General features: G+C 52.8%; 2 protein-coding genes across 4 annotated transcripts in view, besides 1 other annotated feature; one reads left to right on the top strand and one right to left on the bottom strand.

The window, feature by feature from the left end:
• Positions 1–27,998, top strand: part of ACOT11 (acyl-CoA thioesterase 11) — a 90,965-nt gene that overhangs the window by 47,328 nt on the left and 15,639 nt on the right. The window contains exons 7-16 of one of the 2 annotated variants that reach the window (NM_147161.4): positions 1,704–1,860; positions 3,741–3,860; positions 5,714–5,858; positions 7,114–7,169; positions 8,316–8,382; positions 8,791–8,874; positions 9,521–9,654; positions 11,579–11,710; positions 12,387–12,513; positions 13,402–14,774. In NM_147161.4, the coding sequence (NP_671517.1) occupies positions 1,704–1,860; positions 3,741–3,860; positions 5,714–5,858; positions 7,114–7,169; positions 8,316–8,382; positions 8,791–8,874; positions 9,521–9,654; positions 11,579–11,710; positions 12,387–12,513; positions 13,402–13,557 (1,178 nt within the window). In that variant the 3' untranslated portion in view covers positions 13,558–14,774. Of the gene's footprint in view, positions 1–1,703; positions 1,861–3,740; positions 3,861–5,713; positions 5,859–7,113; positions 7,170–8,315; positions 8,383–8,790; positions 8,875–9,520; positions 9,655–11,578; positions 11,711–12,386; positions 12,514–13,401; positions 14,775–27,998 lie in introns of those variants that run through there. The other variant, NM_015547.4, reaches the window with a different exon arrangement.
• On the bottom strand, positions 13,626–27,970 carry FAM151A (family with sequence similarity 151 member A). 2 transcript variants are annotated; one of them, NM_176782.3, is made up of 8 exons: positions 27,723–27,970; positions 24,309–24,452; positions 20,465–20,617; positions 19,145–19,304; positions 16,931–17,155; positions 16,051–16,190; positions 14,857–15,000; positions 13,626–14,386 (listed from the first exon to the last, which is right to left on the bottom strand). In NM_176782.3, the coding sequence occupies exons 1-8, from the start codon at positions 27,838–27,840 to the stop codon at positions 13,713–13,715; spliced, it is 1,758 nt and encodes a 585-aa protein (NP_788954.2). In that variant the 5' UTR covers positions 27,841–27,970; the 3' UTR covers positions 13,626–13,712. The 2 variants fall into 2 exon arrangements, with proteins under 2 accessions (NP_788954.2, XP_047275095.1); XM_047419139.1 differs by lacking the exon at positions 27,723–27,970 and adding an exon at positions 27,544–27,584.
• Positions 27,088–27,357: an enhancer, noted in NCBI's record as "active region_1065". NCBI's record gives its function as "activates an Ori minimal core promoter by ATAC-STARR-seq in GM12878 lymphoblastoid cells {active_cell/tissue: GM12878}" and the evidence as "EXISTENCE:reporter gene assay evidence [ECO:0000049][PMID:35858748]".

Below are 27,998 nucleotides of genomic sequence, written 5' to 3' on the forward strand. Positions count from 1 at the left end.
TCTTTCCAGAAGTATTCCCTGTATATCTAAGCATAGCATGTATTATTTAGCTCCTGAAAAGGGGCATTCAGTACATACTGTTTTGTATCTTGCAGTTTCCCCTTAAAAATATATCCTGGGGGTTGTTCTATACCAGTACAGAAAGATCTACTTTGGACTGGGTGGGATTTTGACAGATGGGAGATAAGGAAGGGTTTCTGACAGAGGGCACAGCCTGGGCAAAGGCCTAGAAGGGAGACCTTGGACTTGTTTACTTATCCCCAGAATGTTCAAATTTGAGTCTTCCTTGAAACCAAAAGGAGGCGATCTTAGAAGAAAATCTCCCCGGAGTGGGGAGAGAGCAGGCAGAACTCGCCAAGCCCAGAGGAAGCCTCAAGCTATGCCCTGAGTTCCATGTGCCCTGGTTCTACTGGGCTTGGAGGCCGGAGCTGGGGAGGCCCAGCTCTTCCTACAGTCATCAAGGCCCCTTTGATCCATCCATCCCCTTGCAGCCCTCCTAAATCTCTTCTGTCCTAACAGCGCTCCCACCTAAGAATCAGCTCAAGTGCCTTTGCCTGGCACTGGGCCTTCTGGCTGGCCACTCAGCTTCACTGGGTACTGTCTCTTGACCTGCTGCAGCTCCTGTTAAGCCACAGGCCCCATTGCCCTGTGAATACCCTCCCCGTCCTGTCTCCAGACCTTGGCTCAGGCCACCCTCAACTTCCCCTCCTGTCTGCCCCCACCCTGTCTGTGGTCTCTCTGAGAGCCTGCAAGCCAAGCCAAGGGCAATGCCAGCTCTTTGATGGACCCTCCCTGAAGAAGTCTCTCCATGGGAGATAGGAGACAAATGACACCACCTTGGGTTTGGTGGGGCATGCCAGCATCTGCTGCCCTGAAGCCCAGGACCCCATGCACTGCCTGGCCTCTCCTACTAAGGATATTCTAACACTGTTGCTGCCAAGGATAAGGGAATCACCAGGGCAGAAGGCAGGGAAAAACCATCCTTTTTGAGAGCATATTTACTGGAGTCAAGTACTTTGTGATTATTATTTTTTTTGAGACAGAGTCTCACTCTGTTGCCCAGGCTGGAGTATAGTGGCGTGATCTCGGCTCACTGCAACCTCTGCCTCCCAGGTTCAAGTGATTCTCGTGGCTCAGCCTCCTGAGTAGCTGGGATTACAGGCACTCGCCACCATGCCCAGCTAACTTTTTTGTATTTTAGTAGAGACAAAGTTTCACCATGTTGGCCAGGCTGGTCTTGAACTCCTGGCCTCAAGGGATCTACCCTCCTTGGCCTCCCAAAGTGCTGAGATTACAGGCATGAGCCATTATGTCTGGCCTTGAGTCAAGCACTTTGTGACAATAATCACATTTCATCTTCAAACAGTCCTATCGGGTCGGATTTCATGCCTGCCTTTACAGATGAGGCAACCGAGGCTCAGAGGGATTACTTGATTTGCCCAAGGCCATACAGGCAGTCTGGAGTGGAGCTGAGGCTCAGACCTGCTGTCTTGTCTCAGAGCTGGTGCTGCATCCACTGCACTGGACAGGCTCATCCCTCTCATCCAGGGCCACCCTCTGCCTCATGTGCACTCTGTGCTGAGTAAATAAAAGAACCTGAGTGGGGTAGAGTGGTGGGGGTCCCAGGGCTGCCTGTGGGGAGGGGCTGCCCTTGGGAATGTTCTCACCTCCCTGCTTCCCTCCCTTATCCCATCCCTGGTCAGATCTGGAGAGCAGAGACTGTAGCCGCATGGTGCCGGCTGAGAAGACCCGTGTGGAGAGTGTGGAGCTGGTCCTGCCTCCCCACGCCAATCACCAGGGCAACACCTTTGGGGGCCAGATCATGGCCTGGATGGAGAATGTGGCCACCATTGCAGCCAGGTGAGGGCAGGGTGTGCTGCCTCTGCCTCCCCTCCTTTCTCCTCCTCCTCCCCTTGGCTACCTCCCTCTGGAGGGGAAACCCCAGCTTGGGGTTGGCATTCAAGGCTTCAGAAGCTTGGCTGTTCTGAATCAGAGAAATGAATTTTTGTGAACTGACCATTCCTTGTTCTACTAAAAAAGCTAGCATCTTTTACATGGGAAACACCAGGTCTCTTGGCCTGGCACTAGATCCTCCCCTTGATCTGGCCCTACCTGCACTCCTTCTAGTATCTATGTTCCCTTCACATCAAGCCTTCTAGTATCTATGTTCGCTTCACATCAAACCATTTGCTGTTCTCTGTTCCCATCCTCCACTTTCCCAGCCCCTGCCTTTGCTCCTGATGTAGCCTCCTGCCGTGCTTCCCCTACTCTTCTTTGTCTGCTAATATCCTGCCCACTTCCTCCATAAAGCCATCTCTGACTGTTCCCTTCTTCTAAGGGGTGAAAATTGTTTTCTCTCCTCTAACATCTGTTTCTGTCCGGGGCTTGTTCTACCCTAAATATCAGGGTATTTTTTATAGTTATGGTAACTGACCTTCACTAATTGACACTCTCACACCTCCAAGACTTTGCTCTTGCTGTTCCCTCTACCAGGAGTGCCTTTCCCAACCCATGCCCTTTCCAGCCAGGTGGATTCCTCCTTATTCTTTAGAGCCTGGCTTAAATGGCCCCTCCTCCAGTTTAACCTGTGGGAGACAGTGCATAAGCAATGCTGTTTTGGGCAGGCCTGGCTATGAGTGCAGTAAGATCCTGGAGGAGCCTGATGGTCAGGGAAGGCTGCCTGAAGGAAGAGCACTTCAGCTGGGACTTGAATGCCAAGTAGCTTTGGGTAAGGGGAGGGCTTCTGGATAGTGGGAACAGCAGCTACCAAGGTGTAAAAGTTGGAAGGAAAATGGGAAAGGGGTTTACCCAAAGCCCTGCTTTCTTCTGTCCCCTCAAACTTGGCTTCTTTCCAGCCATGCATAGACCTCAGTATTCTAAACTATGAAATGGGACTTTAGTTCTGTGCCTCTGGGCAGAACTGCCACTGGGTTGGGTGGCAGTGGGTGGGTCAGAATGTGTAGTTCCAGGCTGCGTCTGGGGATGGGACCAGGGTAGAAGGCTGGCCCAAGCTGGCCTAGCATGGTGGCTCACACCTGTAATCCCAGCGCTTTGGGAGGCTGAGGCCACTTAGGCCAGAAGTTCAAGACCAGCCTGGGAACAAGGTAAAACCTCATCTCTACTAAAAATACAAAAATTAGCCAGGTGTGGTGGTGCGTGCCTGTAGTCTCAGCTACTTGGGAGGCTGAGGCAGGAGAGTCACTTGAACCCGGGAGGCGGAGGTTGCAGTGAGCCGAGATTGCACCACTGCATTCCAGCCTGGGCAACAGAGTGAAACCCTGTCTCAAAAAAAAAAAAAAAAAAGAGAGGCCAGGTGTGGTGGCTCATGCCTGTAATCCCAGCACTTTGGGAGGCCGAGGGGGGTGGATCACCTGAGGTCAGGAGTTTGCAACCATGCTGGCCAACATGGTGAAACCCTGTCTCTACTAAAAATACAAAAAATTAGCTGGGCATGGTGGCGGACACCTGTAATCCCAGCTACTCAGGAGGCTGAGGCAGGAGAATTGCTTGAACCCAGGAGGCAGAAGTTACAGTGAGCCGAGATCCTGCCATTGCACTCCAGCCTGGGCAACAAGAGTGAAACTCTGTCTCAAAAAAAAAAAAAAAAAAAAAAAAAAAAAAAAAAAATATATATATATATATATATATATATATATATATATATATATAAAAATCTGGCCCAAACTAGTGGCTGAAGCACCAGGGGCATTCCTTCTGTCTCCCCACCCCTGCCTCCTCAGCCGGCTCTGCCGTGCCCACCCTACGCTGAAGGCCATTGAAATGTTCCACTTCCGAGGCCCGTCCCAGGTCGGCGACCGTCTGGTGCTCAAAGCCATCGTGAACAATGCCTTCAAACATAGGTGAGGGTCTGGGATGGGTGCGGCCACGTCCATTCAGGGCTGAGGGCTCTTCCTGACCCTAGAAAGGACCCTACTTCAAACTGTCCAGGAGCCCTTTGCCCTGCAGACAGGGTCTAAATCCCTGCCTGGCTGATGGGTTCCTCTGAAATTCAGCTCTGATTTTCCCTTCTTGGGAGCCTTCCCTGGCTCCCAGTCCTGCCCACCCCTGGCTGGGTCAGGGACCCCTCCTCTGGGATCCCCCAGCCCCTGTCTCCCGCTGTCTCAGATCAGTGTCTCTGTCTCCCTCCTTGGCTCCTGGCTCCATGCCTGGACCGCTGTAGATGCTCAGATCACAGGGCCACTTCTTGCCAGTGTTTGGTTATTTATCAAACCCTTTCCCACACATTTCCTAAAATAATTAGTCCACAGAGTCTTTGCCTTTGCAATGAATTCTGAAACCTACTCCCATGAAAGCTGACTTTAAATAAGTAAATTTTTTGAGAATTTCAGAGGTCATTATTTAATTATTAAAAGTGAGGGATCAGGAGCCAGGCTGCCGGATTCGAGTTTGGCTCCACCTCTTACTGGCTCTGTGACCTTAGAAGTAACTTAACCCCTCTGAGTGTCAGTTCTTTCACCTATAAAATGGGGCTCATCACAACTACCTCAGAGTTATGAGGATTCAATGAGCCGTTACTAGTAGAACGCCAGAGAAAATGTCCGGTAAAGGTCAGCCATTGTGGCTGCTCTTACTATTATTGTTGTTATTTGCAGTCTGACTTGCACACGTTCTGCCACGGTGCAGGGGAAAAGCCCTTTTGTAGGAGCTGTGAAGCCTGGATTTTAGTCCAGATTCCAGGAATCTGGAATCCTTGGAAAAATCATTGCCCAGTTCTAGGCCTTGGTTTCCCCATCTATATAATGTCCACACTCTGCAATCATAGAACTTCCAAAGTGAGGGGGAATGGTGGTGGCTGCTATTTTATAATTAATAAGGATGGTAAGTGGCTGAGCGCAGTGGCTCACGCCTGTAATCCCAGCACTTTGGGAGGCCGAGGCAGGAAGATCACTTACGGCTCGGAGTTCAAGACTATCCTGGCCAACATGGCGAAACCCCGTCTCTATTAAATAAACAAAAAATGAGCCAGGCATGGTGCACACACCTGTAATCCCAGCTACTCAGGAGGCTGAGGCACGAGAATCCCTTGAATCCAAGAGGCGGAGGTTGCAGTGAGCCAAGATTGTACCACTGTACTCCAGCCTGGGCGACAGAATGAGACTGTCTCAAAAAATAAATAAAGGAATAAAGAAATAAAGACAGTAAGATACATGAATAGCAGCAACTGAGCTGTTTGAAGCAAGGCTGCCACAGCACTTGTAAATATGCACATAATGAACATTTTCTAATTAGGCCGTCCACCTCCACCTCCTGGTTTATGTCCTTACATCCCTTTGCAGTTTTTGATGGCATATTTATACCTTTGCTTTCTTGTTGGTTGCCTCCTCCCCTGACTGTTAGCCCATGAGGCATAGACTGGACAGGTTTATTCACTCTCGCATCCTCACAGGGCCGGACACACACAAGAGGTGCTCTGTAAACAATGGTGGAGGGAGCGGTCCCAGGTGTCCTGTCACTGGGACTCTGATCCACGTTGCTGGAAGAACTGCAGGAGTGTATGTGAGTGTGTGTGTGCATACATGTGTGTGTATGTGTGTGCATACATGTGTGTGTATGTGTGTGCATACGTGTGTGTGTGTGCATGCATGTGTGTGGGCGCATGTGTGCATGTGTGTGTGTGAGTGTGTGTGTTGGGGAGGAGGCATGGCCCTTGGGAAGGTCTGTCCAGGTTGGAAGCCACACTCCCTCCCCTCAGCATGGAGGTGGGCGTGTGCGTGGAGGCCTATCGCCAGGAGGCTGAGACCCACCGGCGCCACATCAACAGTGCCTTTATGACCTTTGTGGTCCTGGACGCAGATGACCAGCCCCAGTTGCTGCCCTGGATTCGGCCCCAGCCCGGCGTAAGTGGGACCAGCGCCCTGCCCCACCAGCAGCTCCCCTCCCCTCCCTCTCTGCCCTGGCATGGTGGAGACTGCCAGCCCCCTACAGACCTAGAGGCGTGAGGGGCCCACCCTACCCCCGTGCTGGGGCACAGCCAGCTGAGTGTCCTGGCTGTGAGCCCTGGGATGCCCCTTGTGCAGGGCGGGCTTGTTCTGCCTGACAGAACTCGGAGTATGTGTGGGTCTGGCTCGGAGTTGGGGGTTAATGGGCTGTCATGAGCCTGCAGGGTTGGAAGAGTACTGGCTTTGGAGTCAGATGTGGGTTGGAACCTCGCCTCTACTACATTCAAGTGATGCCCCCTCGAGCTTTCAGTCTCCATTTGTAAAATGGGTGTATCTGCAGTCCCTACCTCACAGGACTGTGGGGCGATAGATGCAGTACTGACTCCATGCCTGGCTGCGCCCTGGGAGCGGTCAGGAGGATGGTGAAAGCAACGCAAGGGGCACGGGAAGACAGTCAGGAGCCTGGTGCAAGGTCCTCTCTTACAAAATGCTCCCTGTGCCTCCTGTGGGCCAGGCCTTGGAGAGGCCGCTCCCTCCCTTGGGGGAGGTCCCCTGGCCTTCCTGCTGGCCTTCCAGAGGGTAGCGTGGGCTGTGGAGTTGGGTGGAGCCTCGGGACTGGGAGCTGGGGGTCACAGCCATAGCCGCTTCCCAGGCATTTTCCTTGTACTTGGGGCTGGAGGACGTTAGATGTGGCGGTAAAGAGGGTGGGCTTGAGGCAGGCCATTGGGGTGCTGATCCTGGCCTCGGCCCTTACCCCTGTGGCCTTGGCAAGCCCTCACCCTTCCTTGTCTCAGGTTCCTCCTCTGTAGAATGGATACAGCACCAGCCCCAGCCTCAGAGGGTTGTTGTAAGGATTTGGTGCAATTCCACATGGAAAGCCCTTGAGAAGAGTGGCTGGTGTGTAGTGAGTGCTCAGTAAATGTGGACTCTCATTACCATTGTGAGTGGCCTGTAAGGATCCCCATTTTACAGAGGAGGAAACTGAGGTCTGGCCAGGGGAGGTGGTGTTCCCAGGTCACTCAGAGAGTTTGAGGGGAGCTGGGGCTACAGCTTAGTTTCCCACTTTGCTGGCCAGGATGTTTTGATTCCAGCTGCCCCAGCGACACCTGAACTCCACGTTAGGGCTGCAGGAACTCCTTGGGCCCTGGGGGATGGAGAGGGGGCAGGACGGAGGGTGGGGGTAGCTGGTTGCCTATCCCGACTTCCTCCCCAGGATGGTGAGCGGCGGTACCGAGAGGCCAGTGCCAGAAAGAAGATCCGCCTGGACAGGTGAGTAGGGGCTGAGTGGTGGGCAGAATGTGGATTCGGGGCTGTTCACGCTCCGCTGACCCCAGGGCACTCGCTTTTCTTCAGAGCTGCCTGTGCGTTGGGCCCTGGGCCGGGCCCTTTACATCCTCTCGTTTTGGTCTTATTACACAGCGGTCTTCTGGCCTGTTGTACACACGAGGACGCTGGGGACAGAGGGGTTAGGTGGCTTGCCCAGGGACACACAAATATCATCAGCAGAGTCAGAATTTGAAGCTGGCTGAGTCCAGCCGATTTTAAATCCTGTGTTCTTGCCATTGATTCTGATGCCCATTTGGCAGATGAAGAAACGTTCAGAGAGGAGATGCAGTTGTTCAAGAGGTAAAGCCACTTTGGGAGGCCGAGGCAGGCAGATCCCCTGAGTTCAGGAGTTTGAGACTAGCCTGGCCAACATGGCAAAACCCCGTCTCTACTAAAAATACAAAAATTAGCTGGGCGTGGTGGCTCTCGCCTGTAGTCCCAGTGCACCTATAGTCAGGAGGCTGAGGCTGAGGCAAGAGAATCGCTTGAACCGGGAGTTGCAGGTTGTAGCAAGCCGAGATTGTGCCATTGCACTCCAGCCTGGGCAACAGAGCAAGACTCTGTCTCAAAATAAATAAATAAATAAAAATGAAGCCAGGTGTGTCTGACTCTGCTGTGAAAGCATTTATGGACTTTAGAGGCTGTAAGCACAGCAGGGATCACAAGCTGTTGTTAGTAAGAAAGTGTGCATCTATGGCATTTACTGAGCATTTACCGTGTGCCAAGCACTGTTATTGTGATGTCCCCATGAGGCAGGGGTGACTGCTGATCCCATTTCACAGATGAGGACACAGCAGCACCAGGGTGAGGTCACTCAGCAGGGGTATGGGGTGTGGGAATCGAGCCTTAGACGCCATACCCTTCCTTGCTGGCTCGCTCCCACCTCTGAGCTTTCCCTGGTGTAGGGGCCGAGCTGGTGTGCCCTCAGCTGCTGTGTCCTGTGTGACCATCCAGCCTCCCTACCCAGACAGGAGTCTCCCATTCTGCCGGGCTCAGCACAGGGCCTAGCACAGAGTAGGCCTGCAGTAGAGTCTGTGGAAAGTGCTGAACTTCCAGGGGACCAAGGTTGTCATCTTCTCTCCTTCCCAGGAAGTACATCGTGTCCTGTAAGCAGACAGAGGTGCCCCTCTCCGTCCCCTGGGACCCTAGCAACCAGGTAAGGCTCTCTGCTCCGAGAGGACAGTCTTCAGACCCACCGGGCCCCCACCCTTCCCTGCTTGTCAGAACGGGTTTGGAGGAAGGCCGGGGAGAGCAGGATATGAATGACACGCCTCATGATTGCTACCATTAGCAAAGAGCTGGCCTGCGTCCCTGTTTGGTAGGTGGAAGCGGAGACCCTGAGAGGCAGAGTAGCTTGTCTAGGGTCACACAGTGGGTCTAGCCAAGCCCAAGCCTGGACCTCCCTTCTCAACGCCCAGGACTCTTTCCACAGCACCTGCCGCACCACCCACCCACCGCCCAACCCATTCCTGGCCCAGGTTCCTCTCTGGCACACCCTTGGCCTTGGCTCAGGGGCCCTGAAGGAAGGGGGTGGGGTAGTGGTAGCACCTGTGTACTCTTTCAGGTGTACCTGAGCTACAATAACGTCTCCTCCTTGAAGATGCTTGTGGCCAAGGACAACTGGGTGCTGTCCTCGGAGATCAGTCAGGTAGCTGACCCCACCCACCCAATTTTCCTTTCTCATCTGAGCCAGAGGTGGCTAATGGCAAGCAACAAGAACTCTCCCACACCACTTATGTCAAAAAAAGATCTCTTCAAAGAATTGGGTGAGATCAAGAAACCAGTCCAGTTATGGAAACGTACCCACCCCTGCAGGGCCTGGAGTCGAGAACCCCTAGATTCTTCTCTCCTGCCTGCCCCCCTTCCTGTTCTCAACCACTCAGGTCTGCTGCTGTCTGACCAGGCACTTCCTCCCTCTCTGTTCTTCTGCAGTGATCACTGCAGGGATCGGGGCAGCCAGCAGGCACGCGCTTACAGGAGACCTAAGCTCTGCCAGCTGCCTGTTCCCCTAGACAAGCCACTTCCTGCCTGTGCCACTGGGGCTTGGATGGGCACCTGGCTGACAGGAACCACCACATGTTGCCTTAGTCACTGTTGTCTTAAGCCACCTTCCTGTCCATTTGTGCTGAATTCATAATTCGTGGGGATGCAGCTGAGACTCAGAGAGGTTGAGCTGCGTGTTCACATTCACACAGCAAGTCAGCTGTAGCCCTGAGCTTCCAGTCTCAGCCTCCAGCATCCCCATCAGTCCACTCCACCACCCAGCAAATGAGGCTGCCCTCTATCCCATGCAGGTCCGCCTGTACACTCTGGAGGATGACAAGTTCCTCTCCTTCCACATGGAGATGGTGGTGCATGTGGATGCAGCCCAGGCCTTCCTGCTGCTCTCGGACCTGCGTCAGAGGCCAGAGTGGGACAAGCACTACCGGTGAGGGGCCAGGGTGAGGGCAGGGCAGTGTCCCTTCTCCGGCCTGATGAGGGAGAGAGTGTCTCCTTCTGCGGGTCATCCTCCATGATGCTCTGCCCTGCTGGGGCTGGGGGTGGGTTGGAGTTCCATGCTGGGTGGGGGTTCAGGGTCATGGGTATTTTGAGCCCTTAGGGAAGAGACTGAGCACGGAATTAGAGCTGGAGGCTTGAGTTGAAGTCCTGCTTCTGTCCCAACCAGCTGTGTGACATTGGATAAGTCAAAGTCACTTCCTTTCTGGCCTCAGTTTCTCTCTTCTTAAAATGGATGCTTGGATGGCGGGTCATGGATTCACACTCAGAGATACTGATTTTCAAACCATGTGCTGTGGAGTTCTGTGTTCCCAAAGGGGCTTCCGGAACTGCTGGGGGTGGAGTTGGAAGGATGAAGGGTGATCGGGACATAGCATGGCCAGTTTGTTGAACTTACCAAGTTTGCTGATTTTCCTCACAAATATATTATTTTTGAATATAATGAATGATTATGAATAGAAATATGTTATTCCTTTACATACATTTGTTCCTCCAAATTTATTGATTGTTCACATGACTATCTTCTTCTCGAATTTAGTCAAGGAAGATAAATATGTTCTTAGGAAAATAGCAAAATTTGTGTTTTTCAAGTCCCCTTAAAGTCATTTTCTGTTCTGCCATCACCGGGGCTCGAGGGGGTTCTTTGATAATTGCTTGTTATGAGGAGCCTACATTCTGGAGAATTTCCGTAAGGAGGTTCTGTGTGTTTGGAAATTCAGTCCGCTGGTCACTTGGTGAATTGTATTTTGACAAACTGGCTTTCCCCTTCCCACCCCATCTATTTTCTCCAGAGCAGGCTTGTAGCTCTTTATACATGGGCTTCCTGCTGAAGGTGTCTTTGCAAAAAGGGCCATGTTGCCTTAAAAAGCCCTGGCCCAGCTGACTCAGGCCTGCTGGTTGTCCCCTTCCAGAAGGCAGAGAGGTGATTTGGTGGTGGATGTCGTGTAGGGGGAGGGCGGTTGTGCATGTGGTAGGTGGGCTTCTTGGAGGGAGGCTGGGGTGGGCCTTGAAGGCCAGACCAAATCTTGATACTTGATGGGATTTGTGGGGGAGTGGCCTGAGGGGAAAGAGAGCCCCTAGTTTCTTCCCCATACCCTGCCTACTGCTGAGTGCAGGCAGGGGAGTGGGGAGGAGGAGGTGGGTCTGGACATGGCCATGCCTGCCTCTGTGTGGGTGTCCTTGTGTGGGTGCACGTGTTGGTATGAACCTGTGTATGCCCATGCATGTATGTGTCAGGTGCCTGGGCCTGGGGATACATCTCTGCCACCTGATAGCCTGGACACACCCCAGCCCTGCTTCCTTATTAGCTCTGTGGCCGTGGGCAGGTTATCTTCCTCATCTATGAGATAGGAATACTAAAAGCGTCTACAGCATGGGGCTGTTATGGAGATTAAGTGACACATGTAAAGCATTTAGAACAGCACCTGGCACTCAGTGGGCGCTCAGTAAATATTAAGAACAACTGCTAAATCATCACACATCCTTGTGGTGTCTGCACCTGCGCAGACATGTATAGACACACGTGGGTCTCTGTGTACACTGATGTCTGTCCATGTGCCTGTGCACATATGACCACATGTGTGCATGTATGTGCACATCTTTGTTCCCATGTCTGTGTGTATGTGTTCATTTACTTGCATGCATGTCTACATGTGCCTGTGTGTGCACACGCACATGTGTGTCCATCTTGGCTGGGCTTTGCTGCCTTCCTGCTGGCCCTTGCTGAGCAGTACAGGGGGTGACATCCCATCACAGAAGCTGCTCAGGCACTGCAGTGTGGCAGGGCCCGGGCAGACCCGCTGCTTGCATGGGAGCTGGAAGCTTCCTGGGGCACTGAGATCCCGGCCTCCCCACAGGAGCGTGGAGCTAGTGCAGCAGGTAGACGAGGACGACGCCATCTACCACGTCACCAGCCCTGCCCTCGGAGGTCACACAAAGCCCCAGGACTTCGTGATCCTGGCCTCGAGGCGGAAGCCTTGTGACAATGGGTGTGTGCCTATCTGCTGTGGGGTGGGGGACACAACTGGACAGGGTGGTAGGGTGGCCGCTTCTCCCTCCCAGGGAAGGGCATCAGCCTGGAGCCAGAGCTCTGCTTCCCATTGGCTGTGGGGCCCCAGGCACCACTAGACTTTTCTGGGCTGCTGTGGCTTTACTATGGGTAAAATGAGGGATAGGGGCACACATTTCCCCTCTTGTCGCATTCCCTAGAGCAGGGCCACCCTTACCCAGGGTGGCTCAGGCTGCCTCGATGCAGGCCTTGGGCAGGATATTTCTCACGTGGCCACCTCCTTGGCCTCCTCCCTCTGACAGCCCTGTGTGGGCTGGAGGGCCTAAACATCTCTTTTGCTGGAGAGACAGGGACAGAAAAAAAATCCCAAAGCCCACGAGTCTTCCCCTGAGCGTTGAAGTGGAGTGGCTTTTCCAGAAAGTCCACAGTGAAGTCAGGTTGGCTCCTGGTGAATTCAGTGCTAACCCACAGGTACCTCCTCCCTCCAGCCTGGCCCTGAGCCCCGCATTGGGGCTTTAAGAGTCGATGTGCCTTGCATCCCCCTGGTGAGGAATCTGTGCTAGAGGGGGCAGGGTCTCGGCCTTGGTTGGGCAGAACAGGCCCCCACTTTCTTCTGTGGCTGACCCCTGTCCCCTTGCTACCCTTCCTTCACTCAGGGACCCCTATGTCATCGCGCTGAGGTCGGTCACGCTGCCCACACACCGAGAGACGCCAGAGTACAGACGCGGAGAGACCCTCTGCTCAGGCTTCTGCCTCTGGCGCGAGGGGGACCAGCTGACCAAGGTGAGGCCGGTCCCCCCAACCACGCCCCCAGCCTGGCTCCACCCCAACACCACACGTGTATTGAGCTCAGCACTGCTGGGCTAGGATAGTCTCAGAGCTGGCCCCCCAGCAGGCTCCCCCTTCCAGCCTGGGGGAGCCTGAGAGTGTCAGGGGCTGAAAATGATCTAATCTGTGTACAGGTAAGTCAGAGGCCACTGCATGGTCTTGGAAAAAGCTCTGGGTGCTGAAGGCAGAAGGCCTGGGTTCTGAACTGAAATTCCATCTCACTCGTCATTCACTTGGATAGCCCTTCTCATCTAGGAAGGCTTTATATGACTCTGAGGGCCCATAAAACCCAGCAGCGCAGTCCGTGTTGATGGAAAACATGGGGAGGAGGCTGAGGGAAAGCGAGGGTGGGGTACTGCAGCCTCCCCCCTCACAGCTTCTATTAGGGCCCTGCAGCCTGGGTCTGGCCTTGAGACTCACCCAGCAGAGACTCAGCCGGTGTTTGCTGAATTCATATGCTTGAACCCATGAGCGCCTCAGAACCATCCCTGGGCTAATGTCTAATGTGTCTCTATGGCCGAGATTCAGAGCTGGGCCCTGGAGATGCAGCCCCTGCCCTCCAGGGCCTCTGGCTGGCGGGGAAGATGCATGATGACAATGTGGTGTGTGGTGTGGGAAGCCAGGGTTGTCAGTGCCCGAGGAAGGGTTGGGGGAGATCAGCTGGAGGAGGTCATGCTGGGCAACTGTGTAATCTAAGACCCTGGGGAGTTGGGTTGAATATTCTGCCCTCCCAGAAGGCCAGCAAGGCTGACTCACCACCAGCCTCGTGCCCACTGGGCTCCCACCCCTTCCCAGGACCCTCCCCTAGCTTGGTCCCCCTGAGCTTGGCTTCCCACCCTGCAGGTATCCTACTACAACCAGGCCACCCCAGGTGTTCTCAACTATGTGACCACCAACGTGGCCGGCCTCTCCTCTGAGTTCTACACCACCTTCAAGGCTTGTGAGCAGTTTCTCTTGGACAACCGGAATGATCTGGCCCCCAGCCTCCAGACCCTCTAGATGCCCTCAGTGGCCACATCATGCCCACTCCCACTCCATCCTGTCCCCAAGGACTCACATACAGTGCCTGGAGAAAGCCAAAGACCTTTATTTCTTCCTGCCTCCCCGTGGGAAGCCTCCGCCCTGAGGTCCGCTGGCCCACCACCCCTGGGTGCTCAGTTTCTACCAACATGAGCCAGCAAGTCCTTGTGGTAGCCCTGGGGTAGCCTGTAGTAGACTCGGGTCCTGTCCACAGCCCTAGCTGCCAGCAATGCTGTCCTCACAGAGGCATAGTCGCCCCCAGCTGGGTTGTGCTCCACTGTGACGGTGGCCCGGGGGGAGGATGCCAGCAGCCTGCCTATGGCTCCAGCTGTGCTGTGGCCCAGCAGCATGGCCTGCATCTGGAAGGACACAGGTTGCCAGAGCCCCTGGCACAACTCTAGCATATCTGTGAGCAGCTGTTCCCTGTAGCCACTGCCCAGCACCTCCTCAGGCCAGCCTGGTGCCACAGTCACGTGGGGGAAGACCTCAGCCACAGCTGTAAGCAGCTCTCTGCCAGCCACATGGCCGGGGACCGAAAAACTCCCGTGGGAGATTTTGGCCCCAACCCACACAGGCCAATGCAAGAGGCCAAGGCTGGAGAGGCGTGCCAGCAAGGCCAGGGATGGCCGGAGGGCTGCGGGCTCCGCTATTTGCAAATGGATGCCCCAGTGTCCGGGATGTGTGGCCAGCTGCTGCAGGCAGGACTCCAGCGTCAGGATGTTGCCACTTGGAGTATGAACAATGGGCACGGGGTTTTCAGCCACAGTTCCCTCGAGGCCAGTGTTCAGCAGGATCATGCCTTCTGTGTCTGGAAGAGGCGGCAGAGGCAACAGTGTTTAGGATTTGGGTTATCATAAGGTGTTAAGAGTCCCTTGTTAAAGGGGCAGTGGGAGTTATGGGGTCATCAAGGACCTTGCCTCTCTGGAATCTGTCAACCCAGTTTTGGGCTCCAGGTGGATGGGTTGCTTTATAAATGTGCCTGGTGCATGAGAAACTCTTGTTTCAGCTCTTGGCCTTTACCCATGACTCAGCCTGGGGGCTGGTGCCGGCCTTGCCTGCAGCAATGTAGCTGAGGACTGGTCTGAAGGCCAGGAGCCCTGTGCTCTTGACATCACTGTACTCCCTCTCCCTCCCCGCAACCCTGCCCCACCTTGCATCCAGGGTATGGTGTAAATAAACCTGTGTTGCCATGGCAACAGAGACCGGCGGTACCTGCCCCAAGCAAAGGACACCCCTGCAGATGAGCTGGGAGCACCGGGGCTGAAGGGTAGACCTTACCTGGGAGGGTCATTGTTGCTGTTTTACCGCTGCCCTGGACGTCAGGAACCAGCCACTCCACATTCAGACCGTCATCCCCAGGCAGCTGGAGAAGAGGGATCAGGCTGCCTCCCGTGTAGTACATTGGTTTCCGTGTGGCATTCACTGTGGGGCCCCAAATCGCCAAGGTGAAGTGGCTGCCATTCACAGAACACCTTACCTGGTTGCTAGGGTCCCATAGGCCACAGCTCTACGGGCATCCTCTCTAAGCCTCATAGCACCCTGCCAAGTAGCTCTCATTTCCTTGCCTTGTAGACTAGAAGAAGTGACTTGCCCAAGGTCTTATAAGCAGTAAGCAAAGTTGCCAGGAGTGGAACCTGATGGGACCAGGTCTGCCTGGCTCCAGAGCTGGTATCCTTCCCGCTCGCTTAGGTGGCTCCCATGGCAGGAATGCTGAGTCTGATGGGGCCTCTTTGAGATGGCTTAACTGCGGCTCTTCTGGGTTCGGGGTCAAGGGAATGAGGGGTTTGGATAGTGGCATCTGATCACTGCTTAATGAATACAGTGGAGGCCTCTGAAACATTAGAGTAACCAGCAGTGGAGCTATGCACCAAGGGAAATAATGGGGGGTTTGGAATTTGCTGGTTTCCTACCTGCTGGGCCACATAAAAGCTGAGTGACTGTATAAATTCCTGAACTGTTTTGAGCCGCTGTTTCTCTATAAAATGGAATCCCTCAGTTTCTCTATAAAATGAATGTGTGGGTCAGGCAGGTGGCTCATGCCTGTAATCCCAGTACTTTGGGAGGCCAAGGCGGGCGGATCACTTGAGGGCAGAAGTTCGAGACCAGCCTGGCCCAACATGGTGAAACCCCATCTCTATTAAAAATACAAAAATTAGCCGGGCATGGTGGCGCAGGAGAATCGCTTGAACCCAGGAGGCGGAGGTTACAGGGAGCCGAGATTGCGCCGCTGCACTCCAGCCTGGGTGACAGAGTCAGACTACATCTCAAAAAAATAAATAAATAAAAATAAAATGGATGTTTGAAGCTTAGCATACCATCCCAGGGCCTGGCACACAAAATGCAGCCGCCTCCTGTCCCACCCCGGCCTTCCCCCTTCTGATATCCCTTCCACCCAGCTCTGCTCCAGTGCCCACCAGGTGCTGCTCCATGCAGAATCCAGCCCACACCACCCTTCCCAATTCCTCTCCTTACAGGCCAGCTGCTTGAACTGTGACAGGAGAGGCTCAAAGATGTCATAGTAGACTTGGTGGACAGCAGTGTTATCCCGGACGTAGAGCAGATCTTCCACCGACATGGGGTCCGAGGCAGCCTGCCACAGCGTCAGGCTGTACCTGGGGACACGAGAGCTGGCTCAGTGCCTGTCTGGGCCCAGCAAGACCCTCAGCCCCACTCCTGTGCTCAGAACTGGATGTCAGCTGGGCGCAGGGTAGAGCATCTGTCCTCCAGTCGCCCACCTGCCACTTCTCCCTGAGTCCTACCCCTTCCCAAGGGCAGGAGCCAGAGGGAATTCAGGAAAGATGACTGAAAGCAGAGGCCCAGGAGGGAGGGGGAGCCTGTGCTGCCTCCTCACTTGCAGTGTCTATTTCTGAGTCCTGTCTTAGGAAAGGGGCAGGACAGATGGGGGAGGGTGTGGAAGGGTAGGTCAGGCATCAAGAGGGGGAGGGGGCAGCTTTGGGAGTCCTATGGAAGGTAGGGGGTATAGTGGGGGCAGGGGAGTCTCTAAATTCCTATAGGGCTATCCTAGGGCAGGGGTTAAAGGCACAATCTGTGTAGCCCCAGGGGTACAGCGGGCTCCTATTGGAGGAAGCTGTGGGGAGACAAATTGTGTCTTGGTATAAATATTTTCCAGAGGGCAGAGAATTACCCACCAATGAAAGGGCTCTCTTGGGAGGTAGTGAGTAGCCCGTCACCAGAGGTATGCAAGCAGAAAGCAGGGACTCTGCAGAGGGCATGAGCACTGGCAGGGGTTGGACGAAATGACCTTTAAGACCCTTCCAGCCATGAGCTTCTGGGATCTTGCTGGGGGCATCAGTGCCTCCAGGAGGGTGGGGGTGGGTTTGGTGGTTTTCACCTCTCAGATTGGCTCAGCAGCCAGCTGAAGTGGGGCCAGGCAGCCCGCACCATGGAAGACCGTACAGGGAAGGTGACCCTCTGGGGCACTCCTCCCACCAGCTCGTGCATCTTCTCCACCATGGCTTGGGTGTACGTCCTGTTTGGGGACGTGGACATGTAGAAGGTGGTCCAGCCTGGAGATAGGGTAGCCTTGGGATACTTCTCCTGGACCAGGGCCAGGAACCTGCAAAAAAATCAGAGATGTTGGTCTCACGGAGCTGCAGCGGCCCCTTCCTCTCCTCTGGGGTCTCATCACAGTGCTAGGGAGTGGCAGAGCCTATTGGATCTATGATAAGGTCAGAAGCAGAGTCCCAAAGGACAGAATGGCTTGTTTCAGGTCCCATAAATTGGGCGTGGACTTTGGAGTCAGGGAAGTCTGGGTTCAGATCCTGATTCTGATCTTGGGCAGGTAACTCAGCCTCATAGACAGCATCCCTTCCAGCAGGGCAGGCTTCTTAAACATCCTCATATAGACAGGAAACTGACTCAGAGCCCCCAGCGTGTGGGAATCTGAGCTCTGCCAGCTGGGAGTCTCTGAAGTTTCTCAGGTTTTCTTTAAAAATCTCCCTCCTGCCAGGTGTGGTGGCTCACACCTGTAATCCCAGCACTTTGGGAGGCTGAGGCAGGTGAATCACCTGAGGTTGGGAGTTCGAGACCAGCCTGACCAACATGGAGAAACCCTGTCTCTACTAAAAATACAAAATTAGCTGAACGTGGTGGCGCATGGCTATAATCCCAGCTACTTGGGAGGCTGAGGCAGGAAAATCGCTTGAACCCAGGAGGCGGAGGTTGTGGTGAGCTGAGATCGTGCCATTGCATTCCAACTTGGGCAACAGAGTGAGACTCCATCTCAAAAAAAAAAAACTTTTTTTCCTGTCTTCCTGCTTTCCTCCCTCCTTCCCTCCCTCCCTTTTCTTCCCTTCATGTCTTTCTCTCTTTTCTTTCTATACGTGGTCTCGCTGTGTTGCCCAGGCTGGTCTCAAACTCCTGAGTTCAAGGGATCCGCTCACCTTGGCCTCCCAAAGTACTGGGATTATAGGTGTGAGCCACTGTGCCCAGCCTAAAATTTTATTTGAACTTTGCCTTGATGAAAATATTTTAGTTTTTTTCTTTGTACTTTTCTTCTTCAAAAGATGCAAACTTTAATAGGCAAATTATGTTGCCACCCACTGCCCACCCAAAAAAACCCTACTGAGTAAAATTAGCACTCCAGGAAGACAGGTCATATTTATCTTGGGCCATTGATTACATTTTCCAAACTGCTATTTTTGGAAGGCACCTCAGCTTGAGAAGCACAATAATAAATTGGATGGATGGAGGAAGAGATGGATGGGAAAGAGCCTGGAGCTTAGAATCAGAAAGGCCTGGGTTTGAATCTTTGCTCTGCCACTTACCAGACTTAGGCAGGTCTTTTAACTTCTATAATATAGTTCCTGCATTAATAAAATAAAAGTAATACTACCTACCTCATTCTCATAAGAGTTAAACGGTGTTCTGCAAGTCAAGTGCTTAAAACAGTTCTGGGACACATAATAAACTTCGAACAAATTGAGCTTCCACTATTGTCAGCTTTATCATCTGCAATATGGGGAGAAAGCCCTAACCTGGCAGTGCTATGTAAGGATGAGATCAAAGACATTCTCTCTCTTTGTAAACTGTAGAGCACTGTGCAACTACTGTATGTGAGGGCTGTGAGCAGCGGTGCTGGAATTCATGAGGGGAATTCCAGCTGGGGAAGGAATCAAGGTTTTAGACTTCTCTAGCAGGCCAAATCCTGTGCTGGTCACTGGGGAATACAAGGGGGCACTTGGCCCTGTCTGCCCTCCAGGAGTTCAATGTAGTAGGGGTGACAAATCTATGAACACCCAGTGACAGCCCCATGAAGTCAGGGCTGTGTTAGAAGGAAGTGTAGGGGTTGAGGGGCCCAGAGGAAGTCCTGCAGTGGCCTAAGATGTCAAGGAAGTTTCTAGGAGATAATGACTGGCCAGTGGTTTGTCAGAAAAGGGGGGAAAGGCATTGGAGGAAGAGGGAACAGCATGTGCAAAGGCTCAGAGGTGAGGCTATATATAGTATGATTGGAGACAAACTCAGAGGTCCCCTAAGATCCCCATCCTGTGGTAGGTGTTGACAGAAGAGGGCTGGACACAGCTGGGACAGAGAGGCGAACACTCACTGTGTGGCATTGACCTCAGTTGAGATGAGCATGTTGGGGCCCTTTAAGATGTCAGCGTTGATCCATATGGGCCGCCGGACTTTGCCTTCCTCTGTCAGCTGCCGCAGGAGGTCCAGGGAGGGGCCCACTGCCTTGATGTTCTTGAAGTCCAGTTTGATGCCTGTGGGGAAAGGAACAAGGGCTTGGGGAAATGGCGAAGGAACTAGGAATACATGACTCCCTGGGCAGAAAGCAGAGCGGGTGTGTGTGTGTGTGCATGTGCGTGCACAGTGGAGTCAGGGGAGGGCGGAAGGACCAGCACCACATCCCTGCAGGGTGTGAGGAAGGCCTTTCGAAGAGACAGAGCTAACTCAGAGAAGAAGGGCCTGCCTCTAGAGGAGTTCCCATCTCCTGCGGGGAGGAAACAGAGGCCAGGTAAGGACTTGGGCTTGTGGCTGCTGCAGCTGGGAATCAAGTCTCTGCTGAAAAGGGCCTGTGGTTCCTGAGCAGGGCAGACTCAGAGGGTCCTAAACCACCAGAGCCTGTAGGGAGGTTACTCAGCCTCCAAGAAGGTGCATTTGAGTAGAGGAGGAGATCTCTGCAGAGAAAGGACTTGGTACTTTTCAGGGTGGTGAGGAGATGAGGCTAGGAAGATATAGAGGGATGTTGAAAGCCAGGCCAAGATCACACTTTTTCCTGAGGACAATGGGGAGCCACGGAGGGTTAAAAGAGAGGCGTGGCATGACAAAACTGGTGTTTTGAAAAGATCCTTCAGGTGCGTGTGTGTGGTCATGGTAGTCAAGGGAAGCCTGGAAGGGCTGAATTTGGGGCAGGAAGCCAGTGAGGAGGGAGGTCCTGGAGAGATACAGTGTTGCTGCGACTAGATGGGGGCAGGGTTAGGGGTTAGGATTGGTGGATGCAGCAACTGAGTTGCCGTGAGGATGAGGGAGAGGGAGGCATTATGGTGACGCCTGGATTCTGACTGTGACTGGTGAAGGGGTGCAGAGGGGAAGGGTGGGGCTGGGCTTTGAACATGTTACGTCCAGTTCTGTGGATACAGGAGGGAGCACTCTGAGCATGCGCGGCACTTTGCAGTTCACACTGTACTGCCGGCTGTCTCCCCTCTGTGTCCAGGAGAAAACACCAGGACCTGCACTGACATGCTCCCCATCTCGCCTAGTCCTCACTGAGCCTGGGCATCTATAACATTGTGATGAGAAAGCCAAGGCAATGAGCACCTCGTGTCAGGGCTGGACTTGCTTCCCAGTGAGGGATCTCTGCACATGCTGCCCCAGGGCCAGAGGGCTGGGGGCCGGAGAGGGTTTCCAGAGAGGCCCTTACCCTTTTGGGAAGAGCCCAGCACAGCGTCCAGCCACTGCTCCAGTGTGTTGTCACTGTAGATAGTGGGGGGGTGTGCCATGATGGGAACTCCTGTCTCATTGGCTGTGCCGAGCCCTTCTACATTGACGTCAGCCTCCAGGACTGTGATGTTGCCTGTGGAAGGGGCAACAACTCAGTGAGTTCCTTTTTTTAAAAAAAGAAAACTTCTTTCTCATCATAAAAGCATTACAAATTACAGAACATTTGAGAAATACAGAAAAGTGGAAGAGGAAAATATTCACCCACACTTCCATCATAGTTTCACATTTCGATGATTTTTTTTCTTCCATTTTCTTCTATGCATAGGTTTTTGTTTTTTTTTTGAGACGGAGTCTTGCTCTATCGCCCAGGCTGGAGTGCAGTGGTGTGATCTTGGCTCACTACAAGCTCCACCTCCCAGTTTCAAGCAATTCTTGAAATTCTCCTGCCTCAGCCTCCCAAGTAGCTGGAATTTACAGGCGTGTGCCACCATGCCTAGCTAATTTTTGTATTTAGTGGAGACGGGGTTTCACCATATTGGCCAGGCTGCTCTCAGAACTCCTGACCTCAAGTGATCCGCCCACCTCAGCCTCCCAAAGTGCTGGGATTACAGGCGTGAGCCACCGTGCCCGGCCCTATGCATAGTTTTTACACAGTTGAGACTCCACTGCATTTATAATTTTTTATGTTTTTTCAACATTATGACACATTTCCACGATCTTTTTTTATGCATCTCTTTAGAGCAAACAAGGCAAAAAAGCAAAAAGCTTCAAAAGCCCTGGTTGAGGGTGTTCACTACTATGTAGTTGATCATCCCCCATCCCTGAGATGCTTTGGTAAGTTTCTGATTTTTGCTATTAGTCTTGCTATGTTGCCCTGTCTGGTCTTGAACTCCTGGGCTCAAGCAATCCTCCCACTTTGGCCTCTCAAAGTGTTGAGATTACAGGTGAGTCTCAGTGCCCAGCCCACAGGGTCATTTTTAAAGCCCATGTTATCAAACTGCTTTCCGGAAAAGTTGTTCTGATTCTTGTTCCTGCACAAGGTTGCCCATCTCACCACATCATCACTGACACTGAGTTATCTTTTAGCTTCACATAGTTAACTCAATCAGGTGGACATCTTCTGATTCCTGCCTTCAAGAATTCAGTCTAGTAGGGAGCTCAGACCTTTCTAATGGGAAGCTGTCTCTAGATAATCATGCAAGGGGCACTCACACTTGAAGAGTGTAGTGGAGGGGAGAGGGGCCGCTTTTGGCCCTTGCAGCATCACAAACGACTGATGCCAGAAGGGGCCTTTTCTCCTGCTTTCTCCCTGACTCCTGACCATTCTTCTCACCTCTAGCACTGCTTCCCTGCAAGTCTGTTCTCTATAGAGCCGGCAAAGTGAGTGTCCTAAATATGTACCTGATCATGTCACTTTCTGTTAAAAAAAAAAAAAAAAAGGCCAGAAAACCTACCCATTGCTCTAAACTTGAAACCCAAACTCTTTATCATAGTCTTCGTGGTCTGTACAATCAGGGCCTGCCAGATTTTCCAATTTCATCTCACGTTCCACTCTCCTTCATTCTCTGAGTTCCAGGCACCCAGCTTCTCCAACTTTAATGTGCACATAGATCCCCCAGGAACTGTAAAAATGCATGTTCTGATCACTAGGTCTGCAGCAGGGCCTGAGATTTTTTTTTTTTTTTTTTTTTTTTTTTTTTTTTTTATGAAGTCTCGCTCTGTTGCCCAGGCTGGAGTGCTGTGGCGTGATCACGGCTCACTGCAACCTCTGCCTGCTGGGTTCAAGTGATTCTCCTGCCTCAGCCTCCTGAGTAGCTGGGACTACAGGTATGCACCACCACCATGCACGGCTAATTTTTGTACTTTTAGTGGAGATGCGGTTTCACCATATCAGTCAGCCTTGTCTCGAACTCCTGACCTCAGGTGATCCACCCGCCTCAGCCTCCCAAACTGCTGGAATTACAGGCATGAGCCACCAGGCCTGGCCCGAGATTCTGCATTTTTAACACACTCCCCAGGGATGCGCCTGCTGCTGGTCCATGGGCCACACGTTGGGTAGCAAGGCTTTAATTTGTTTTGTCCTCCCCATCTCTGGGCTGTTGCCTGGCAACACTCTTCTCTCAACTTTACTATGGCACCTCCTGCTCATCCTTTAGTGTTGGCTTAAAAAAATCACCTCCTCAGCCGGGCGCGGTGGCTCAGACCTGTAATCCTAGCACTTTGGGAGCCCGAGAAGGGCGGATCACTTGAGTTTAGGAGTTCGAGACTAGCCTGGTCAACATGGTGAAAACCCATCTCTACTAAAAATACAAAAATTAGCCAGGCATGGTAGTGGGTTCCTGTAATCCCAGCTACTCGGGAGGCTAAGGCAGGAAGAATCACTTGAACCTGGGAGGTGGAGGTTGCAGTGAGCCAAGATCACACCAGTGCACTCCAGCCTGGGCAACAGAGCAAGATCCTGTCTCAAAACAAACAAACAAACAAAAACTCTTTTCACCTTAAAAATTGTGACTTGCCTTCCAGAGGCTGAACCTGGGGGCTGACTTGCTTGGGGGTGGGAAGTGAAGGAGGAGAAAGAGATGAGAGGAAAGGATTTGTTTCCTGTGGCCACAGCTGTAGCCCTGGTCCTCAGGAAGCCATATTCAGGAGGGAAGGGGACATGGAGTCAATAGCCCTCCTTGTGCCAGCTTTACCCATCTGCAGGAGCTCGCGGTGGCTGTGTGCAGACCGTGAATTGACACTGCTAGCTTCCAGTCCCCACCCTAACACTTTCCAGCTGTGTGATCTTGGGAAGGTTATTTGATCTTTTTTTGCCTGTTTCCTCATCTACAAGAATTAAATAATAAAATATCCCTGGTTAGGCATTCACTAAGTGTTAATTATTTATATGGAGTTGATTGCTTAACTAGTGTAAGGGGCCATCTGGTATATTTCTGTTGCTTCAGCGTAATTATTAATAATGACCTCAAAAGAGCCCTGCTTTGGTTGATTTGGTCATTCTACCAGCCCTCAGACCCCAGTTTCCTTGTCTGAAATGGAAGGAGTTTGCTTGAGCAGTGATTCTCAAAGTTGGTCCTGGGGCCAGCAGCCTCAGCATCACTTGAGGGTGGGGCCAGCAGCCTGTGTCTTCTGAAACGTGCCCAGGTTTGAGGACTGTTCCCTTCATCTTTTATAGCTACTGCTTTAAAGTTCACTAGCATGTTCGTGAACATTATCTACTGAGCTTCCCAACAGCCCTGAAGGAGAGGGTGGGGGTCAAGCGTCACGCAGTGGCTTGGAGCGTGCACTCTGGGACTGACCACTCTGGGCTCCAATGTTGGCTTAACTGCTTTCAGACAGTGTAACCTTGGCTAAGTCACCTAACTTTTCTGAGCCTCTATTTTTCTCCTGTGAAATGTTACCCATGAAACAGATTGCATGGTAGTCCCAGGAGAACCTGTGTGTAATGTGCGCCCAGTGAGCCTTGGCCAACTGGTTACTGTAACCATTTTTGAAGTGCAGATTTCTGGCTTCTTGAGGCTTTGAAGGTAAAGGCTTCCTTACAGTTTGGTCCCTGACAGGTCGAGGAAGGGGTAGCTGGGAGGGAGGACAGTATAGTCATTACTTTGGAGTCAGACATGTGGTTTAAATCTAAGCTCAGAGTTTGTCAGCTGCACAACCTTGAGCTGGTCACTTAACCCCTCTGAGCCCCTATTTCCTCATGCTGAAAGACATGTAAACAGCCATCATGCCACCACAGTGACCAGTGTCTGATCCTCACTTCTCTCCCTCTGTCTTCTCTATCCCTTGCCCTGGCCTGCCTCAGTCTTGGCAGCTGGACTTACTGTTCAGGGCAGCTGTCATGGCTTTCTTGCTGTTGGCTGCGTGGTACCAGGTGACCTCCAAGGCATCTCGCCGGCTGATCTGGCCCAGGCTCAGCAGGTAGTCCAGCATGTCGGCATCAGGGCTGCAGGCCTCCAGCTCACAGCCTGGAAGGAATCCCAAGGGGCTGTTAGCGTCTGTCCTCGCCCCAGCCCAAGACTCATGTTCGTTCATCCCATGACCCTCCCTGGGCTCCCACTGTGTCCAGTACCCCATCTGGCAGAGGGACGGTGAGGCTCAGACTCACTGGTGCTACAATAGAGGGAAATGAATGGGCTCCTGGGGCCCAAGGAAGCCTCATTACCAGCCTGAGGCAGTCAGGAAAGGGGGCAGGTTCACAGAGAAGGGAACACTTAAGGAAGACCTTGAAGGATGGGTGTAAATTTCACAGACAAGGGAGAATAGGTTATTCCAGACAGAGAGAAAGCAAAGGCTTGGCTTCAGGAGAGTGCAGTTGCCTGAAGAGCCATTGGCCTGGTAGAGATGGAACATAAAAGTGGAATGTGGAAAGATTGGAAGAGGGGGCCGGGCATGGTGGCTCATGCCTGTAATCCCAGCACTTTGGGAGGCCGAGGTGGGTGGATCACCTGAGATTAGGAGTTCGAGACCAGCCTGGCCAACATGGTGAAACCATGTCTCTACTACACATACAAAAATTAGCTGGATGGACGTGGTGGCAGGAGCCTGTAATCCCAGCACTTTGGGAGGCCGAGGTGGGTGGATCACCTGAGATTAGGAGTTCGAGACCAGCCTGGCCAACATGGTGAAACCATGTCTCTACTACACATACAAAAATTAGCGGGATGGACGTGGTGGCAGGAGCCTGTAATCCCAGCTACTCGGGAGGCTGAAGCAGGAGAATCACCTGAACCCGAGAGGTGGAGGTTGTAGTGAGCCGAGATTGCACCACTGTACTCAGCCTGGATGACACAAAGAGACTCTGTCAAAAAAAAAAAAAAAAAAAAAAAAAAAAAAAAGGCTGGGTTTGGTGGCTCACACCTGTAATCCTAGCACTTTGGGAAGCCGAGGTGGGTGGATTGCCTGAGCTCAGGAGTTCAAGACCAGCCTGGGCAACATGGCGAAACCCCATCTCTACTAAAAATACAAAAAATTAGTTGGGTTTAGTGGCATGCGCCTGTAATCCCAACCACTGGGGAGGCCAAGGCAGAGAATCACTTGAACCTGGGAGACAGAGGTTGCAGTGAGCCGGAGATCATGCCACTGCACTCCATCCTGGGTGACACAGTGAGACACTGTCTCAAAAAAAAAAAAAAACCTGCGCGCGGCGGCTGACGCCTGTAATCCCAGCACTTTGGGAGACCGAGGCAGGCGGATCACCTGAGTTCAGGAGTTCACGATCAGCCTGGCCAACATGGTGAAACCCCATCTCTACTAAAAATAGAAAAATTAGCTGGGCGTGGTGGTCCATGCCTGTAATCCCAGCTACTGGGGAGGCTGAGGCAAAAGAATTGCTTGAACCTGGGAGGCGGAGGTTGCACTGAACCCAGATCATGCTACTGCACTCCAGTCTGGGCGACAGAGCAAGACTCTGTCTCAAAATAAATAAATAAATAAATAAAATTTTAAAAAAAGATAAAAGATTGGAAGAACGTTGGGATCAGGTTGTGAATGGCCTCGAACTTTAGCAAAGGAGTTGCTGTGTGCTGAGGGCAGTGAGCGAGGGTTGCTTGGAAAGATCTGGGCTGCAGAGCTAACAGGAGCTGACAAAAGCAGGCAGAGGGACCTTGTAAGAGGGGTCCAGGAGGAGACTTCGAAGCTTCTCACAGGGCAGGGCTGGAGGGCTGGAGGGCAGAGGGCAGAAAGGCAGAGCCCTTGAGGCTCAGGACTGAGGAACACAGGCATGAGGTGGGGGCATGGTGGCTACTCCAGGTACCTGTGTGAATGGAGGAGCCCTTCACTGAGAGGCTGCAGGGGTGAGCAGCTGTTGGGGGGAAGAGATGAGCTCAGCCTAGTCTGCTGAGTTTGAGATTGCTTGTGTGACTCCCAAGAAGGGCACAGGAGGAAGGTCTGGGCTGAAAGCCAAGATCTGATGGTCTTCAGGCAAGTGAAGTAGTAAAAAAAGTTAAAGGGGGCCAGGCACAGTGGCTCATGCCTGTAATCCCAGCACTTTGGGAGGCCAAGGTGGGCAGATCACCTGAGGTCAGGAGTTCAAGACCATCCTGGCCAACATGGTGAAACCCCGTCTCTAGTAAAAATACAAAAAATTTAGTCTGGTGTGGTGGTGCCCACCTGTAATCCCAGCTACTTGGGAGGCTGAGGTGGAAGAATTGCTTGAGCCCAGGGGGTGGAGGTTGCAGTGAGCCGATATCATGTCACCGCACTCTAGGCTGAGTGACAGAGTGAGACTCTGTCTCAAAAAAAAAAAAAAAAAAAAAAAGGCCAGGTATGGTGGCTCATGCCTGTAATCCCAGAACTTTGGGAGGCCAAGATGGGCAGATCAGGAGGTCAAGAGATCAAGACCATCCTGGCCAACATGGTGAAACCCGTCTGTACTAAAAATACAAAAATTAGCTGAGCGTGGTGGCGCACGCCTGTAGTCCCAGCTACTCCGGAGGCTGAAGCAGGAGAATATCTTGAACCTGGGAGGCGGAGGTTGCAGTGAGCCAAGATCACACTCCAGCCTGGCGACAGAGAGAGACTCCGTTTCAAAAAAAAAAACCACAAAAAATTAGCTGGGTATGGTTGCACACGCCTGTGATCCCAGCTACTTGTGGGGCTGAGGCAGGAAAACCACTTAGATCCAGGAGGCCGAGGCTGCAGTGAGTTGAGATTGCACCATTGCACTCCAGCCTGGGGGACAAGAGTGAAAACTCCGTCTCAAAAAAAATAGTTAACGGGACTTTCTGCTGGGGAAGTCAACGGGACTTTCTGCTGGGGATGAAGTCATGTAGGGTTGGGGGATGGAAGAGAGAAAGAGCTGTGGATGGGGGAATGAGGCTTGGTGGGGACGAGGGCTCAAGAAGAGCTGGTTGGCCAGGCATGATGACTCACACCTGTAATCCCAGCACTTTGAGAGGCTGAGGCAGGTGGATCACCTGAGGTCAGGAGTTCGAGACCAGCCTGGCCAACATGGTGAAACCCCATCTCTACTAAAATTACAAAAAATTAGCTGGGCGTGGTGGCGGGTGCCTGTAATCCCAGCTACTCGGGAGGCTGAGGCAGGAGAATCGCTTGAACCTGGGAGGCGGAGGTTGCAGTGAGCCGAGAATCGTGCCATTGTACTCCAGCCTGGGCAACAAGAGCAAAACTCCGTCTAAAAAAAAAAAAGGGACTGGTCAGAGCTGTAAGTGAGAAGTGGGGATAAGGAGCGAGCGATGAGGGAAGCCACTCAGGATGACATGGGGGGAGGCACCTACCTGGCCGCCGCAGGGTGATGGCAAGGACTATTGCGGCAATGACCACCACAGACACACAGGTAATGCCGGCAAACACCCACTTGACCTGATTCTTTGATAACTGCTCCCTGCAGACCATGGCGACGCTCTCTGGGGAATGCCCCCAACTCCGTGCGGCCCAGAGTCCCTGAGGCTCCCTGCAGCTGGAATCCTGTGGGAGGCAGGAGCTCCCAGCAGCACCTAATTCTCCACCGGGCCTGGTCTGCTCTGCAGCCCTGTAATATCCCCTCTGGAGAT

This window comes from Homo sapiens, chromosome 1, assembly GCF_000001405.40.
Source record: "Homo sapiens chromosome 1, GRCh38.p14 Primary Assembly".
Taxonomy (NCBI): Eukaryota; Metazoa; Chordata; class Mammalia; order Primates; family Hominidae; genus Homo; species Homo sapiens.